We start from the raw sequence: 16,038 nt of genomic DNA, 5'->3' as shown, positions 1-16,038 counted from the left end.
ATTTTCTTAATCCAGTCTATCATTGTTGGACATTTGGGTTGGTTCCAAGTCTTTGCTATTGTGAATAATGCTGCAATAAACATACGTGTGCATGTGTCTTTATAGCAACATGATTTATAGTCATTTGGGTATATATCCAGTAATGGGATGGCTGGGTCAAATGGTATTTCTAGGTCTAGATCCCTGAGGAATCGCCACACTGACTTCCACAATGGTTGAACTAGGGCTAATATCCAGAATCTACAATGAACTCAAACAAATTTACAAGAAAAAAACAAACAACCCCATCAAAAAGTGGGCGAAGGACATGAACAGACACTTCTCAAAAGAAGACATTTATGCAGCCAAGAAACACATGAAAAAATGCTCATCATCACTGGCCATCAGAGAAATGCAAATCAAAACCACAATGAGATACCATCTCACACCAGTTAGAATGGCGATCATTAAAAAGTCAGGAAACAACAGGTGCTGGAGAGGATGTGGAGAAATAGGAACACTTTTACACTGTTGGTGGGACTGTAATCTAAGAGGTTTTAAATGTCCCTCGTCTGCTTCTGATTCATTCCTAACTCATCACATTGTTGTTTTGCAAGCATCATTTAATGTCCAAAAGACTGCAGAGCCTCCTGGTCCCCCATGAAGGGGCAGAAATCACACGCAGCAAAGACCTGTGCCGGGGACCTGGGCCCTGAGATTTGGCCAGAAGTAGGCCTATAGGTCACTTCACTCAGTTCCATCCCCTTGGGCTCTGTCTAGCAAGCTCTCTGGTGTGAAAACATATCCCAAATGCATGCAACCCAGGACCAAGTATGAAGGCAGAGGAGATGCCAGAGGGCCCCAAGGAGATACAATGTGCTTCTTGGCTGAGTGAAGCCATGAGGGGCTGGTGGGTGACCCTGAAGGAGCAGTGTCCCCTGGTGCTCTCTTTCCCTACATTCAGAAAACCCTCCTAAGAATGCGGATCCCTGGAGGTACAGGTACCGGCTTGGCCATAGGACTGCAGCCACCTCCAGAATCCTGACTCCTAATCCGTCCTGTAACAGAGGCCCAGAGCAGTCTGCTCCACGGGAGATGGCGAGAAGCTGGTGCGGGACTTCTGGTTGCTGCAATACCTGGGTGGGTAATTGAATGCAGGTAAAAGCCAAGGATCCTAAACCTTCAAGGATCCTTAACCTTAACCAAGGTCTACCCTTCAGTGGGTGAGACAGCCCCTAACAACGAACAGTCCCTGCAAAAATGCCAACAGCACCACAACTGAGGGGGACTGTAAGAAGGAAAAGTCCAATGTCCATAACTGTTCCTATGGGGACATGAGGACAGGACAGCATGGAGATGGATCGCAGGCGGACATCCCATCCTACACCACCTTCTCAGTCCTGGCTGGTCGCTCCTGTGGCCTGATACTTTGAATAGTTTGCAGGCACTTCCCTTCATGGAAAATACTATGTACGTTTCACTATAGACAGGGTATGCATGGCTACACCCCCAGCATGGAAATCAAGACCTTTCTAAATTCCCCAGAGAACTTTAATAGGATCCTGATGGGGATTCCATTCACACAGAAAAAAAGAAAACTTTCGGTGTACAAATGGCCAGCTCCTAGGTTTCTAGGATTGTACTTGGGTTTCCAGAAGCAAAGCATCTCTTCATAGAGAAGAGAGGTCCTCTCCTTGGATGCAGACTTGGGGACCTCTGTCAGACAGACAACTTCATCTCCGGGGCTTGAAGCATTCTCAAGGCCCAGGGTCCTTTATCCTCAAGCCTCATTCCACCCTCCGCTCATGGGGAAGAGGACAACAGAGCTCAGAAGTTGCTCATGAAACATTTTTAAATTAAATAAGCGTCCAAGGATGCTTCAGGTGAGACACTCCTTCCCACGTGAAGCAAGTCCCCTTCCTCTTCTCCTCTGTGGCTGTTAGTGGTGGCAGAGCTGCCTTCGAGGAGGAAGGGGCAGAAGAGGCACCACCCAGATGATGTGGTTCTGAAGGACCAAGAAGAGGACTGAAGGTCCTCATCCCCCAAAACAACTTCCATACCTGTTAATAAGTGATTGAAATGTCTTTAAATGATTCAAGAGAAGACTTAAAATAAGAAATATCTAATATTCATGCTGAGCTATATATGACTACTACTTAGTTCTCCAGTTCTGGTGCAGGTTTCAACTGAGATAAAGACCTAAACGTGTACAATAGCATTGATTAGCTGGAGGCAAACGGGGACCAGGCTTCATGAAATTAGGAAAAAGACACAAAGTAAGAGCCTGTGCACCCAAAGCGTGCGGGCCTCAGCTGAACAAGCGGTGAGGTCCTGGGCAGGCCACATGGCAGCCTGGGCTCAGTGTCCCTGTGTGGAAAGACAAAGACTGAACTGGCTGTTCTTTAAGGCTTTCCAAGTCTAAAATCCTCTAAGTCAATCCAATTTATCAAAAGCAATGCCTGTGCATTGTGAAGGCCCAGCTCAGGCAAGGGGAAACAAAGGCCCACGATCATTATCATTTCTCTAATCATTATAACAAAAGACATTCTTGCATGTGATGAAGAACCAGAAAAATATAAATGGTCAGTATCTTCTGAGTCCTTGCCAGGAAGACAAATGATAAAGTTGGAATCGTTGCCTACCCAGAAGCACTCCCTCCTTCTCCCTTGCTGGGAGTGCCCAGATTTTGTTTGGATGTCACCTCTCCCCAAGCAATGGAGGCACATCACAATTCACCCAAGCCAATCCCATCTTCCCTGCTAAAGAGATATCTGGCCAGCCCCTGGCCAATGAAGCATGGCGGAGTCTGCTGGAGGGTTCTTGGAGAGGGTTCCTCACTCAAGGAAGACACGCTTTCCTGTTCCCCCTGGAATTCCCTCTCCCAGAACTTGATATGTGACACAGTAACTTGTTGTTAGGGTCATGAGGACACTTGCAGCCAAAAGCAACCTGACTGACACACAAGCAGTAAAAAAAGTGACATTTATAGCGAGGATAAATACATGCTAGAAGTATAGAAAGAAAAGCTAATTCCTTTGACATTTCCCAGATTGGCAGCAAAGACCTAAGGGAAGACATTTCCAGTCTTCTGTTCAGTCTGGGAGAACACAGAGAAAGATGTAGAATTTCTCTGGGACTCTGTATGGACATGCGACTCCTAAGAGGAGGAGCCAGGCTGGGCAGTGAAGAAAAAAGTGTTAGTGGGTTTGTAGCACAATGGTATTGAATTATACTGCGTTTTAGGGCTTTATAACCTAACACATAAGAACACCAAACTATTATTGAGGAAATTAAAGTGATCTTTCAGGCTCAATTATTGAATCTCCAACTGCGGCTAAGTTGCGGGGAAGGTCCCCCACCTTCTCTGTGCCCTTCTTTATTTTTTGGAATGTCCTATCCTGGGACTGTGTGTGTGATTCTCTGAGCACTGAGTGGAGAGACAAAGCTGTAAGACTCCCAATTCTGGGAAAGGGGAGGAGGAATCAACATGGCAGCCAACCTCAGAAAGATAAACCACCACTCTTAAGGAACTCTGAAGTCTAGAAAAATACGTTTTTTAGGAAGCTTAGCTCTTTCCAAAAAACGAGATATTGCAAAAAAGAATACTAATCTAATGGTTTTTCAAACAGATGTCTAGGCTACCTTCATTGGATAAAAGCACATTCAAGCCCCAGAGTGAATGGCCCTCTTTGAAACCAACCTAAACCTCAGAACCTTTGGAAAGTTTTCCCCTTCCCCATTAGCACTTGCTGTCTGACTCCTCCTGGTAGGGTCTGCCAGATCTCCAGGGTTGCCTCCAGCTCATCTGGAGGGGTCCCAGCTCATATGCCACCTCTCAGAAAGCTTTCCCCAATCCGTCGATCTAAGTAACTCCCACAGCTACCATCGCAACATTCTATTTGCTTTCTTTGTCAGCCCTTGTCATTCCCAGAATAATCTCATTTGTTTATTGTGTATCTATCCCGGTTCCTGCAACAGAATATAAGCTTCATGGGAGTAGGAGCCTTGCCCTGTCACCACCGTATCCTCAGACTCCAGAACAAGGTTTCTCAACCTCACACTATTGACACTATTGACATTTTGTGCCAGATGATTCTTTGTTGTGGGGCTGTCCTGTGCATGGCAGGATGTTTAGCGGCTTCCCTGGCCTCTATCCGCTAGATGCCAGTAGCAACCTACCACCCACCCTGACAACCAAAAATGTTCCTAGACATTGACAGCTGCCCCTGGAAGGCAAAATCATCCCTAGGTTAGAGCCACTGCTCTAGAATAGTGCCTGACACTTGGTAAACACTCCTCAAGAGTCTGCTGAAGGATTTACCCCTTACAGACTGAGTACTGAATGAAAGCATTCACAGGAGAGTTTTTACACATTACTAACCTTCCTAATGGATATACTGATACAGTGAAACTCCTGAGTGTTGTCTGGATTAAAACATAATAATAACAGAATCGAGGGTCCATCCATTCATTCATCCTTATAATAAATTTTTGTCGAGTGCTCACCATGTGCAGGCACTGCTCAGTGCTAAGGATACGGCAGAGAACAGAGAACATTCTGGTGGGAGGCAGACAAAAAATAAGTAAATAAATGAGATCATTTCAGATAGTAATTGTGCGATGAACAAAATAAGACAGAACCATGGGCTCCTGAGTGATTCCTGGGAGTGAGGAGCTGGGAGGATGGTAGCACTTTTTTTTATTATTGGTATTATTTTTGAGCCAGGGCCTCACTCTGTTGCCCAGACTGAGTGCAGTGATATGGTCCTGCCTCACGGCAGCCTTCACCTCTCGGCTGAAGTAAATGGTGCCACTTTACATAGGCATCCACAGAGGCCTCTCTGTGGTGGTAACCCATGCTCTGGGACCTGACAGAGGAAAAGGGAGGGGGGCAACACCTGTGGGAAGAGCAGTCCAAGAAGATGGAATGCAGTTTGCCCCTAAACAATGTGGGGACTGGGGGCGCTGACTCCCTTACAGTTGAAAATCCAAGGTAACTTCTTACTCCCCAGAGACTTAACTACTCATAGCCTACTATTGACCAGAAGGCTCACCAACAGGATAGTCGATGAACACATATTATATATGTTATATATATTTTATGTTATATTCTTACAGTAGAGTAAGCTAGAGAAAAGAATATATTAAGAAAATCCTAAGGCAGAAAAAATATATTTACTATTCATTAAGTAGAAGTGGACCATCATAAAGGTTTTCACCCTCATCGTCTTCACATTGAGTAGACTGAGGAGGAGGAAGGGGAGGGGTTGGTCTTGCCATCTCAGGGGTGGCAGAGATGGAAGGAAATCCACGTGTAAGTGACCCACACAGTTCAAACCCGTACTGTTCAAGAGTCAGCTGTAGCAAGTGCAACGTCCCTGAGGCCAGAACAAGAGTGGCCCTCTCCTGGTACCAAAAGAAATTGGGTAGTGAGGAAGTATAATTCGTGGCTGGGAGGGGAGTTGAGGGGATGGTGTGGGGAAGGCAGCAAGACAGAGATCAGGGGGATTCACGCTTAAAAGTCTATCAAGATATCATGGACACGATCATGATCAAATGACTTGGAGCCACTCGATGTATCTCAAAAAGGACAAACTTGCAACAAATCTCAGGCAACAGGACTTTATGCAGCCAATACTTAATTTATAAAGTTTGAAATATTTACTGCAGGAAAAGTTCTTAAAAGATCTGTCGATAATAAACCATAACATATGATTAAGAAAAATTAGCATATAGTAAAATGCATCCTCACCTTGAAAACTTAAAAAAAATCACCTAAGATTATTATGCCTCTCTCTGATGTGGTGGGAATGAGGGCCGGCCACAGCAGCCACCAGGTGACAGCACGTAGTGGGCAGTTTCCTTGCCCGTTCCCTTCCTAGCCAGAACCCCCTGTCTCTCCCTCCCCACCTCCCACCTCTGCCTGCTTTACCCTGGTGGAAACTGCAAGCCACAGAGAAGAAAATAAAAAGAATTCATATCAAAGGCATTGTATAAATTTGCCTTTTCCTCCAAGCCTGGTTCAATTTCTGTTTTTTAAAATCGAAGTCCTCACAATTTGGTGATGTGGAGAAGCAGCTCATCAACATGGTGCCGCACGGAGATTACACCCCCATATAGGTGCAGTGCCTACAATATGCGGAGCTGTAATTAATTGTTAAACGGTGAGTCATCCTCATGCCGGAGGAACACATTTAAATAGCCGCAGAGGGGAGGCCTCCGGTTCCACAGAGACAAGGAATTCTCCTGGCCGCCAACAGCAGCCTCCTCAGAAGCCGCCTCTCCGGGGGGAGGCAGAGGCGGGGAGAGAGGCAGGCAGAGCTCCAGGTAATCAGCTCCTGCTTGCTGCAGAAGATGCTGCCAGATCTGGGTATTGTCTTAAAGGACGAAGGCACAAACACAAGCACCTTGCTTCCTGAGGATGCCCTTTGCTGTGGGCCGCACTGTGCTACAGCTTTGGATGCAAACTCGGCCTCGACTCCCAGCCAGGGCGGGTGTCCTCATTCCAAGGCCCGCTCACCCTCTGGGCCAGGCAAGCTGCATAATGAGAGAAGGTGATTTCCATACGGGGGCCTTCCGGTAGTAAAAATGCATTTAGGAGAAAATAAATTTGAATTAAACTTACAAAACCCAGAACATGTAAATCAAGAAAGCGTTCCAAATGAAACCACAGCTTCGTTTGGAAATCATCTCTTAACACTGCAGTTCTAGACCTGGGTTCATTTCTGCACTGAACCCATCAGTAGGTGCTTATTTTCAGAAGCTCTGGTTCTATTAAAGGGTCCTCAAAACTGTCAGATTTTGAAATTAGTAAAATTAATTTCAGTTTGGTGTTACTGGTTCAAAAATTAATCTTCCCCCAATTTGGTTCTATTCAATCATTGACTTAAATGTGAGAAAATCTCACTTCTCTGGATGTTTTTGGAGGAGGGGAAAGGAAGGAAGTCCTGACTGATTAAAAAATGTCAAATTTCTGATTTTTGAAGAAAGGCAGTTTTAGTACTTGCACTGAACATATTACAGGCTGACTTAAATGAACACTAATAAGTAAAATTCAGCTAGTCACTGAAAAATTACTAGCCATAATAGGGCTTTATTACATAATAATAAGTGACATTATATCACTGAGTCTTAATTTTTAAAATCAATGGGAAACACAGTTTGTGTCAGATTTCCTGGGGTACAGTCTGAATGTACGCTGCCTGGCATTAAACTGAGCATTGTCAACAGTCAATGAGAGGATCCAGTGGACACAAGATGCAGGGGGATGGGGGCAGCAAGGAGGTCTTCCCAGAGAGGAACACATGCATTTCCAAGTGTGGAATCTCAGTTTACACACTGTAACAGGGAAAAGCAGCAGAGAGAGTGATGGGATTTAAACTTCCCGAGGGCGTGGTGGGTATGTTCTGGGCCAAGGTGGAGGCCAGTGTGTTGCATTCTCTTGGTTCTGCCAGCTTCCACTCCTGATCTCAAAAGCACAGCACAGCACCTGGAAGGAGGCAGGTGTTCAGGGCCAGCCTGTACCTCGTGGAAAGCCAGGCTCTGGAGGTAGGCATTGCATTTACTTTGCTGGGCAGCTCCAGCCCACCTTTTCTGAGCAAAAGGCAGGTGGCTAACAGGTTCTGTCCTCCTCAAAATCTGAGAAGCCCTAGAGGCTTCGCTTTCCCCAGCCCCCCTGGCTCCTAACAACTCTGGACCCTTGGTCTGGGGCAGTTCTGAAGAGCCCAGGAGCAGTTTTTCAGGAGGTCGTGTGGCTGCACACACCCATGACCATAAGAAGGCTAAACCCTGCTGCTCTGGTCGCTGCTTCCCTGGGACTGCCTGCAGACACCCAGTGACCTCTTGCTCCTCATGGCCCTCACAGCAGAGTAAAGATGCATAAAGCAACCGTCTTTTACGCTTCAGTGTAAATGTGTTCATGTGCTGGCTGGAACCACTGAAGGCCTTCAGGGAGTCTGCAACTGCAATTCTACATTATCCATTTGCAAAAATACTACTTTCCATTATGATTTATGGCAACCATATAGTGTGTCAGCTGTGTTATGCACTAAACAGGCCAGCCTGGAAAACTAAATGCCATTTGCAGTTTTCTAAGTTTGAAACACCAACTTAATAATAAATAAAAGAGCAGTTCAAAAGTTGGGAATCATCTATAAATTACTTCTGTGTGAAAAACTCAAAATATCTTATCAGGCCTCATTTGGGCTTTCACAACACCTAAGCTGGGAAATTCTGACTTGACTTTATCACAATTTATCACCTGAGCGTAGCAGAGAATCCTGGATTCATTACTTCCCACTAAGAGGTGGTTAACTGTTAGACTAAGCTGGCAAATCACAAGTATCCAGGCCAGACAGACAAGAGGAGCTTCCTAAACCAACAGAAGGACCCCAGACTCCTTGCCCCAGGTACACTGCCCTAAACCAGCCTGCCCCATCCACTTTAAGTACAAAAGGAAGTCTCAAGACAGTTCTCATCAGTTACATCATAATCTCTAAAGCAGAAGTTATTGGAAGAGAGGCTGAAGGATCCCAATAAGCTCCACATCCCTGAAGTAAGCCCTGCTCCACTAAGATCTACTTAGCAGGGATGGTACACTTGGTGCACAGGCTGGGGACCATCTGATCTGAACACTCCTCTGCCAGCGATGCTCCAGGAGCTCGGACCACGTGGCCTCAGGAGTCTTTTTCTCCCAAAGGCTGGGATCTCCAGGGATGCTGACATAAAATGAAGGAGTGGACTAAGTGGTCACTGTGGTCCCTTTCCAGATCTGACATACGAATTCTGAGTTTGGGGCTGAGGGGAAGCCCCTTCCCGGTTTCGACATTCCCTATCCTAAGCACTGTCGAATTCCAGGTGCAGAGCGAGAGCTAGAGTAATATAATCTTGCGACTCCCTGAAAAATCAGTTCTAAAATTATTTCCCTATTCTGTTTAGGATGCTCATCCATCTGTCCTCCTTGCCTTCATCCCTACCCCTGCTTCCTACAGAAGTGGTTTCCTAACCCCCATTCAGTTTGTCCAACATCAGAAGACATTTTGATGATGGCATTTTTTCTTGTGACAGCAATGTTTTCCAAAGGAACTTGTCACTGAAATAAGGGAAACAACAAATCATAGATCTTTAGAGCTGGAAACCTACTTAAGTGCATCCAATTCAATCCTGCCACTTTACTACAGGAGAAACTGAGGCCCAGAGATTTGCCCAGTGGTAGTAGCAGTAGCACAGCCATGAGCCCCAGTGAGTTCCTCCCTGCCTGTCCTGTGTTCTGTGGGAAAACTCCATTTCCTGCGGAAGAATCCCTCCTTCCACAGGGAGGGGCGTGGTGAGGTCCTCCAGCTGTGATCAGGACATGCCTTAACCTCCCTGAGGCTTTGGGACACTAAAACCCACTCCTCATGACTTACCGCCTGGACCAACTGACAATGTGTGCAGGCACTTAGCAAGGTGCCAGGCACGGCATGGGTGACTGTCACCATCATCACTGCTGCTATCGGTGATTTAAATACACACACACACACATCTCTTCTTTCATTCAGGGAAGTGTATTTGATTCATTTTCAAGACAACATTAGAATACATTCCCTATTTTAGTAGCTTGAAACTTTCTACCAGATCCCATCATAGCCAAAAAGACATCCTAGTCAGTGTTTGCTCTTGGGAATAAAGTGTCCCCAATGTCCTCAGAAGACCTTAGATCAGAAAACATTCCTATTTTCAACAGTGATGAAATTTTCAGATATTCCAATACGGATGCAGGGTAAGTCCTGGGGAACACTGTGCTCCTCTGAGGCCAGAAACCCAGTGACTCCTCCCCTCAGGTGCTCCACGGCAGGGTCAGGACTTTGGGGAGAAACGTTCCTGCATGGGAAGATGGATCGAGCTGCTGGAACATAAGTGATAACAAGGAAAGCAGCTCAGATAAGGCCCAAAACTTCTCCAGTCACTGAAATACCAGGCTCACAGTGGAGAGGGTATGTAAACAAGAATGTCACAGAGCAGGAAGGGGGAAGGAAGGAAGATAGGCAAGGAGACCCAAGAGCAAAGTCATCAATGAAAAACATTTGGCAGAAAATATCCAAGAGAAAGAACAGTACATGAACAGAAAGGGAGAAACAAAGCTCACCAGCAGCACAAGGTCAACGTGAGTAAGCTATGTAATATGGCTGCTCAGAGGAGGGGGAAGAGGGGACAATCAGGAAGAGGAGGGGGAGCAGGAAGGGGAAGGGGAAGAGCAGGGAGGAGGAGGAGAGGGAGGAAGAGCACAGAGGAGGAGGAACGGGAGGAGGCAGAGGAGGTGTAGGAGGAGGAGGGATAGGAGCAGGAGGAGGAGGAGGAGGAGGAGGAGGCAGTGGAGGAGGAACAAAAGGAGTAGAAGGAGGAGGAGGAACACAGGGGGGAGCAGGAGGGGAAGAAGAGGAGAGGAACAGGAGGAGAAGCACTAGGAGGAGGAGGGAGAGTGGGAGGAGCCAGAGGAGGAGCAGGAGGAGGAGGACGGGGCAGGTAATCTTGGGCTGCATCAGTGGGAATCCGCTGACTCTAAGAGGAAGCCTCTTACTGCCTGGGGTCCAGTTGGAGCTGAGGTATCCTGGGTCAGGAATAAACACTGAGGTTCACATGGGAGTGGCCAGGACTGAGGGAGAGGGTGCAGAGACAAGGATGGCTAACCTCAAGGAAGATAAGTAAGAAGCACAGAAGCACTGTCTTCAATACCAAGACAGACGTCCTAGGGAAGAGAGGACACGTTCCTCCTCTGAGGACAAAATGAAGAGCAGCAGGTAGAAAATAAAGACTGGCAGCTCTAAGAAAAACCTTCCTTCCAATCATAATCTTCCCCACATAGATGGCCAGCCCTGGAGGTGTCAGGGCAGAGGCCAGACAGACCTGTCAAGGCTGCTGTAGGAGAAGGGCCTCCTCGGCTGGGTGGGCTGCAGAGGCCCAGTCTAGCACTGTGATACCAGGAAAGCAGGGGAGAGAAGGGTTCCAACCCAAGGCCCTTGCTCAATTCAGACGGCTTGCTCATCGCTTGCCTGAGTTCTCTTCCTACCTCTAAACAGAAGGAAAGGTGGCGAGCTCTCAACACCAGCCTCTACAGGGAAGGAGTGCATGGAACCTTTACAAGTTTTTTGTTTTTTGTTTTTTTTTGAGACAGGGTCTAGCTCGATTGCCCAGGCTGGAGTTCAATGGTGCAATCTCAGCTCACTGCCACCTCTGCCTCCTGGGCTCAAGCCATCCTCTCACCTCAGCCTCCCAAGTAGCTGGGATGACAGGTATGTGCCACCAGGTCTGGCTAATTTTTGTACTTTTTGTAGAGACAGGGTTTCGCCATGTTTCCCAGGCTGATCTCAAACTCCTGGGTTCAAGTGATCCACCCGCCTCAGCCTCCCAAAGTGCTGGAATTTCAGGCATGGGCCTCTGCACCCGGCCTTGACGTGACAAGTTTCAACCAGATGTTCCTGGCAGGGCCAGTAAGCCCCAGCACACCTGGCAGGAAACCATGATGTTCTCCCCTCACTCCAGGTGTGGAATCACAGCAACTAACAGCTTCTCCTGGGTGTACCCTGCAAATGCAAACCTACATGGAATGACATCTTGAATCCGAGGTGGGGAAATCTGCTCAAACAGACAGCTGTTTAAAAGGTTCTCTTCCCATTTGTACCTGATGAACTCTCTTCTGACTCTGAATGCAGAGGACAAAGGCCCACCTCCTCGGAAAAACACACAGCATGAAACTCTGGCTCAGCGCACCCTCTCCAGCTGTCCCTCACCGCTCCCCATCACACACTACACGTATCACAGCACCGCCAAGTCTTCCAGGGCTCTGTGGAGGAGGGGGAGAGTGGGGGGAGTGCCAGGTACCGTGTGGAGGAGGGGGAGAGTGGGGGGAGTGCCAGGTACCGTGTTACACACTTTCATACATTATCATCTTTAATTCTCACGACAACTTTCCAGTTGTGATGGCAGCATTCACATTTCACATAAGGGAAAATTAACTTTAATGAAATTAAACATAAAAGGAAAAAGTACTTAAAACCGACACAATTAGCTTCTGCCTTCTGAGACAGTGACATCCTTCAAAGCATGGGAAATGGACGTCTTTACTGCCCCTCTCCCTGTGGAAGGAGACAGGGTCCATCCCACGTGAGCCGGCCCGGCCTGCTGTGAGTCCGCAGGCACGGGAATCCACGCGCAGAAGAAGGCTTGGAGCTGAGCTCAGGGGTGGGGACTGGAGAGGGCTGAACTGCTCTGTATAACAAAAACAGGGGGCGGTGGGTGTTAAGAGTTGTTTGGGAGCAGCAAAGTGGGAGAGGTGGAAAGGGCAAGAAATATAGGAAGACACAGCAGCCAACCTGGCAAAAAGGCCTGAGGGGATTTCTCAGCACAGAAGTTTCAGATATTCAACATTCACATTACTGTGATGTCAGCTCCATCTTCCCAAAAACTTGAGTGCAGGCTGAACCAAAAACCGTGAGAGGGAGGGAGGGGGTGTGTGTGTGCGCGCCCATGTGCGTGCATGTGTGTGTGTGTGTCTGTGCCTGAGTGTGTATGTGTGTGCCTGTATGTGTGAGTGCGTGTATATGTGTGAACGTATGTGTGTGAATACATGTGTGCGTGCGTGTACACGTGTGCCTGTGAGTACATGTGTGCGTGTATGAGTGTCCATGTGTAGGTGTGTGCCTGTGTGAGACCATGTGTGCATGTGTGTGCCTGTGTGTACGTGTGCGCCTGTGTATGCGAGTACATGTGTGAGTGCATGTGTGTGCCTGTGTATGTGTGTGTGCATACGTGTGCCTGTGTACGTGAGATCATGTGCATGTATGTGCCTGTGGAGGTGTGCCTGTGTGTGAGTGCATGTGTGTGCCTGTGTGTACGTGTGTGCCTGTATGAGACCATGTGTGCATGTGCCTGGGTGTACGTGTGTGCCTGTATGAGTACATGTGCGTGTGTGTGCCTGTTTACATGTGTGCCTGTGAGTGCATGTGTGCCTGAGCGCATGTGTGTGAGTGCATGTGTGTATGCTTGAGTACATGTGAGTGCATGTGAGTGAATGTGTCCATGTGTGTATGTGTGAGTGTATGTGTGTGTATACATTAAAGAAAAAGCATCAGGCCCATGTCTGGGTTAATCCACAGCAAAAGGAAAGTCACAGCCAGAGAACGTGACTCCCGGTGAGCCTGGAGCCAGCGTGACTGCAGAGGGCCAGTCCCCAGGTGATGCCGGTACGCTGGAGAAGGCCTGGGAAGATGTGCGGAGACAGACACCTGGGACACCTAAGGACCAAGCCCAGAGCCACGCTGCTGGTGAGTGTGGGCCGGCGCTTCAGTCTGTCTCTATCTGAAGACACATCCAGGCCTTTTCCTCTTCCTTGCTTGGGTTGCTGCTCTTCTCATGCCCCTGCTCTCCTGGACCCCACATCCAGCACCCCACACCCCACATCTCCCTGGCAAAATCCCCTCTGACAGAGCCTCTCCTGACGCCCCAGGGTGAACGGGCTGCTCCGTGGAGTGGGGACATGGCTGACGTGCACCACACCTGCTCTTCCTCCTGGGCACGGCACTGGACCACACTTCCCAGTATCCCTGGACAAGGCAGGGCCACAGGCTGAGTCCCAGCCAATGGGACTTGCAGGAAATGACTGGCACCCTTTCTAGGCCTAGACCCTAAAACATGGGTGCGACTTGGGCCCTTATCTGTCAGCCAGACTCAGGGGTTTAAAAGGGGGCGGGTTCCAAGGCCTGAGAGGATGGCACAGCCTGTCGGCAGAAGTATTCTGAGACCCTGAATAACCCTTCTTGCCACCCCACCAATCCAAGCTGGGCTGTGATGTGAACAAGAAACTAACCTTTACTCTGTGAAGCCACCAGCTGCTGGGGGTGACTTGCTACAGCAGACAGGCTACTCAGAGCACTGTGCTCCTCTCTCTACAGCCTCCTCGCCTGCCGGCTGTATTTCCATTTTCCACAAACACACCTGTTTTCCCACTGGATTGACCTCCTTGAGGAAAGGAACTGTATTATACTCATTTCTACGTCCTTTGCACCTAGAATGCACAGCTTATGTCTTCATTGAGTGCGTAATGAATAAATAAGTGAATGGCTGGCAGGGCCTAGTGGAACCCAACACGTCTACGATACCCTGAAAAAATTAAAACAAACAAACAACAAAAAACAGAAAACCAGACCCAATGCTAGATAAACGGCTGATGGAGGGAATGGGGCACTGCGGGGCGGGGATGAGCAAAGCCTTCCCTGCTGTGCAGCCACACCTTGAATGACAAAAACCTTACCTGGGAGAACGCTGGCTGGCAAGGAATTTTTCACTGTGCTCCATCCTACAGTATTTTGAAATCTTTTGTTTAAATCGATTGGCAATGTTTAAACACGCCATTTCACACAGAAGTACAACATTGCTAATTAGGCAATAAGGAGAGAGACAGTGTCATTTCCTGGTAACGCATCATGCACAAAAAGCCCTCCCTCCTTCCAATAAATTTTAAAGGATTTCACATCATCTCATTTTTAGTGCAGAAAGAGGATTCCATTCCATTAACAAAGAGCAGGTTCTGGTTGGCTGTGCTATTCCTTTAACGTTGAACCACAAGGCATGTCCCAAGATGCTTCACTCAGGTGTAAGAAGCACTGGTACCCAGCCTTGAAGGTTTCGGCTCTCACCTGGATCACAGGCAGCCTCTTTTGGGACCTCCTTTGTTCTCTTGCGTCAGTGATCTCAAGGGATCTGCATCTTCTTTTGCTGTAGATAATTGCCTCAAGTACTTTTGTGAGTTTTTTTCTTTCTTCTTTAAATATCACTAGTTGTAAGAGCCCTTAATGAGCACGTTATTTTAATGGGGCTGGCCACAACTTCATGCTGTTTTACTTTAGCTTCTCTTATGGCAGGTAAATCACAATGGCGGAAGATGGCCAAATGTTCCTTGGTTTCCCTGCCCCTACAGGTTTCCACTCCACACGCTGATAGTTTTCCAGCCAGTTAGCAGCCCTCTGCCTGGAAGCTGCCCTTTGGAAGCTGGACCTGGCCCCCTCATCTCGCGCAGCAGCCAGCGCCCAGCTTCAGTCCCCACACAGGCAGCCACGATGGCCCATATGGCAAGTCTCCCTGTTTCCATGGACTGGGCCCTTCTGACACGTCCTGGGGAGCCTGCTCCCGCAGCGTGCAAGGTTTTCTCCAGCCTTCTCTCCTTGTACGCATCCCACTCTTATCCCGAGTCAGTTCTTCCCCATTCCTCTGGTAGCCATTTGGTGCTCAATATTTGCACACACAGCCAGCAAGGGACCTCTGTCCTCGCTGCATCCATCTAGCACAAGGCTCTCTTACTGGGCAAGGGGAGAAATCCTGTATCAGGTTACACCAGATCCACACAATGGTGCTAACCCAGGCACCATCCCAGGAGAACCAGTGTTCTCCACTTCTCCCAACACTTAGAAAAGCTGAGCTGTTTGATGCTTCACGTTGGGAATGTGTCTTTTTTTTTTTTTTTTTTTTTTTTTTGAGACGGAGTCTCGTTCTGTCGCGCAGGCTGGAGTGTAGTGGTGTGATCTCAGCTCACTGCAAGCTCCGCCTCCTGGGTTCACACCATTCTCCTGCCTCAGCCTCCCAAGTAGCTGGGACTACAGGCACCCGCCACCACGGCCGGCTAATTTTTTTGTATTTTTAGTAGAGACGGGGTTTCACCATATTAGCCAGGATGGTCTTGATCTCCTGACCTCGTGATCCGCCTGCCTCGGCCTCCCAAAGGGCTGGGATTACAGGCGTGAGACACCGTGCCTGGCCTTATTCTTCCTTCTTCTAAAGGATTTGGGGCAACTGATTTAGTATCATCTGGGATCGTCAGAAATTTTCCACATTTCTCAGAGAACACTTCTTGTATTTTATAAGGATACCACCAAATAGGAGATTAGAGGACCTGAGACCCAAGTATAATATAGGCCTAAAAACCGAATATCAATTTGCTGAAACAGTGTCTTTCTCTTTTTATTTTTATTTTTTCTCTCTCTCTGGGGATGGGGAGAGACAGAAGAGATTTTATCCATTAGGTGCAAT

The 16,038-nt window shown here is 47.9% G+C and overlaps 1 protein-coding gene across 55 annotated transcripts in view, besides 4 other annotated features; it reads right to left on the bottom strand.

The window, feature by feature from the left end:
• Nucleotides 1–16,038, bottom strand: part of CACNA1C (calcium voltage-gated channel subunit alpha1 C) — a 727,171-nt gene that overhangs the window by 493,372 nt on the left and 217,761 nt on the right. The window lies entirely within an intron of this gene.
• Nucleotides 6,042–6,336: a silencer, noted in NCBI's record as "tiled region #515; K562 Repressive non-DNase unmatched - State 24:Quies". NCBI's record gives its function as "represses a minimal TATA promoter and a strong SV40 promoter by Sharpr-MPRA in K562 cells {active_cell/tissue: K562}" and the evidence as "EXISTENCE:reporter gene assay evidence [ECO:0000049][PMID:27701403]".
• Nucleotides 12,219–12,788: an enhancer, noted in NCBI's record as "H3K27ac-H3K4me1 hESC enhancer chr12:2300957-2301526 (GRCh37/hg19 assembly coordinates)". NCBI's record gives its function as "activates a minimal SCP1, AML or CMV promoter by ChIP-STARR-seq in primed H9 embryonic stem cells {active_cell/tissue: H9 hESC(primed)}" and the evidence as "EXISTENCE:reporter gene assay evidence [ECO:0000049][PMID:30033119]".
• Nucleotides 12,789–13,356: an enhancer, noted in NCBI's record as "H3K27ac-H3K4me1 hESC enhancer chr12:2300389-2300956 (GRCh37/hg19 assembly coordinates)". NCBI's record gives its function as "activates a minimal SCP1, AML or CMV promoter by ChIP-STARR-seq in primed H9 embryonic stem cells {active_cell/tissue: H9 hESC(primed)}" and the evidence as "EXISTENCE:reporter gene assay evidence [ECO:0000049][PMID:30033119]".
• Nucleotides 14,969–15,564: an enhancer, noted in NCBI's record as "H3K27ac-H3K4me1 hESC enhancer chr12:2298181-2298776 (GRCh37/hg19 assembly coordinates)". NCBI's record gives its function as "activates a minimal SCP1, AML or CMV promoter by ChIP-STARR-seq in naive H9 embryonic stem cells {active_cell/tissue: H9 hESC(naive)}" and the evidence as "EXISTENCE:reporter gene assay evidence [ECO:0000049][PMID:30033119]".

This window comes from Homo sapiens, chromosome 12 (genome assembly GCF_000001405.40).
Source record: "Homo sapiens chromosome 12, GRCh38.p14 Primary Assembly".
NCBI lineage: Eukaryota > Metazoa > Chordata > Mammalia > Primates > Hominidae > Homo > Homo sapiens.
Note: the sequence above shows the minus strand (reverse complement) of the source record. Positions and strands in the feature narration are given on the sequence as shown.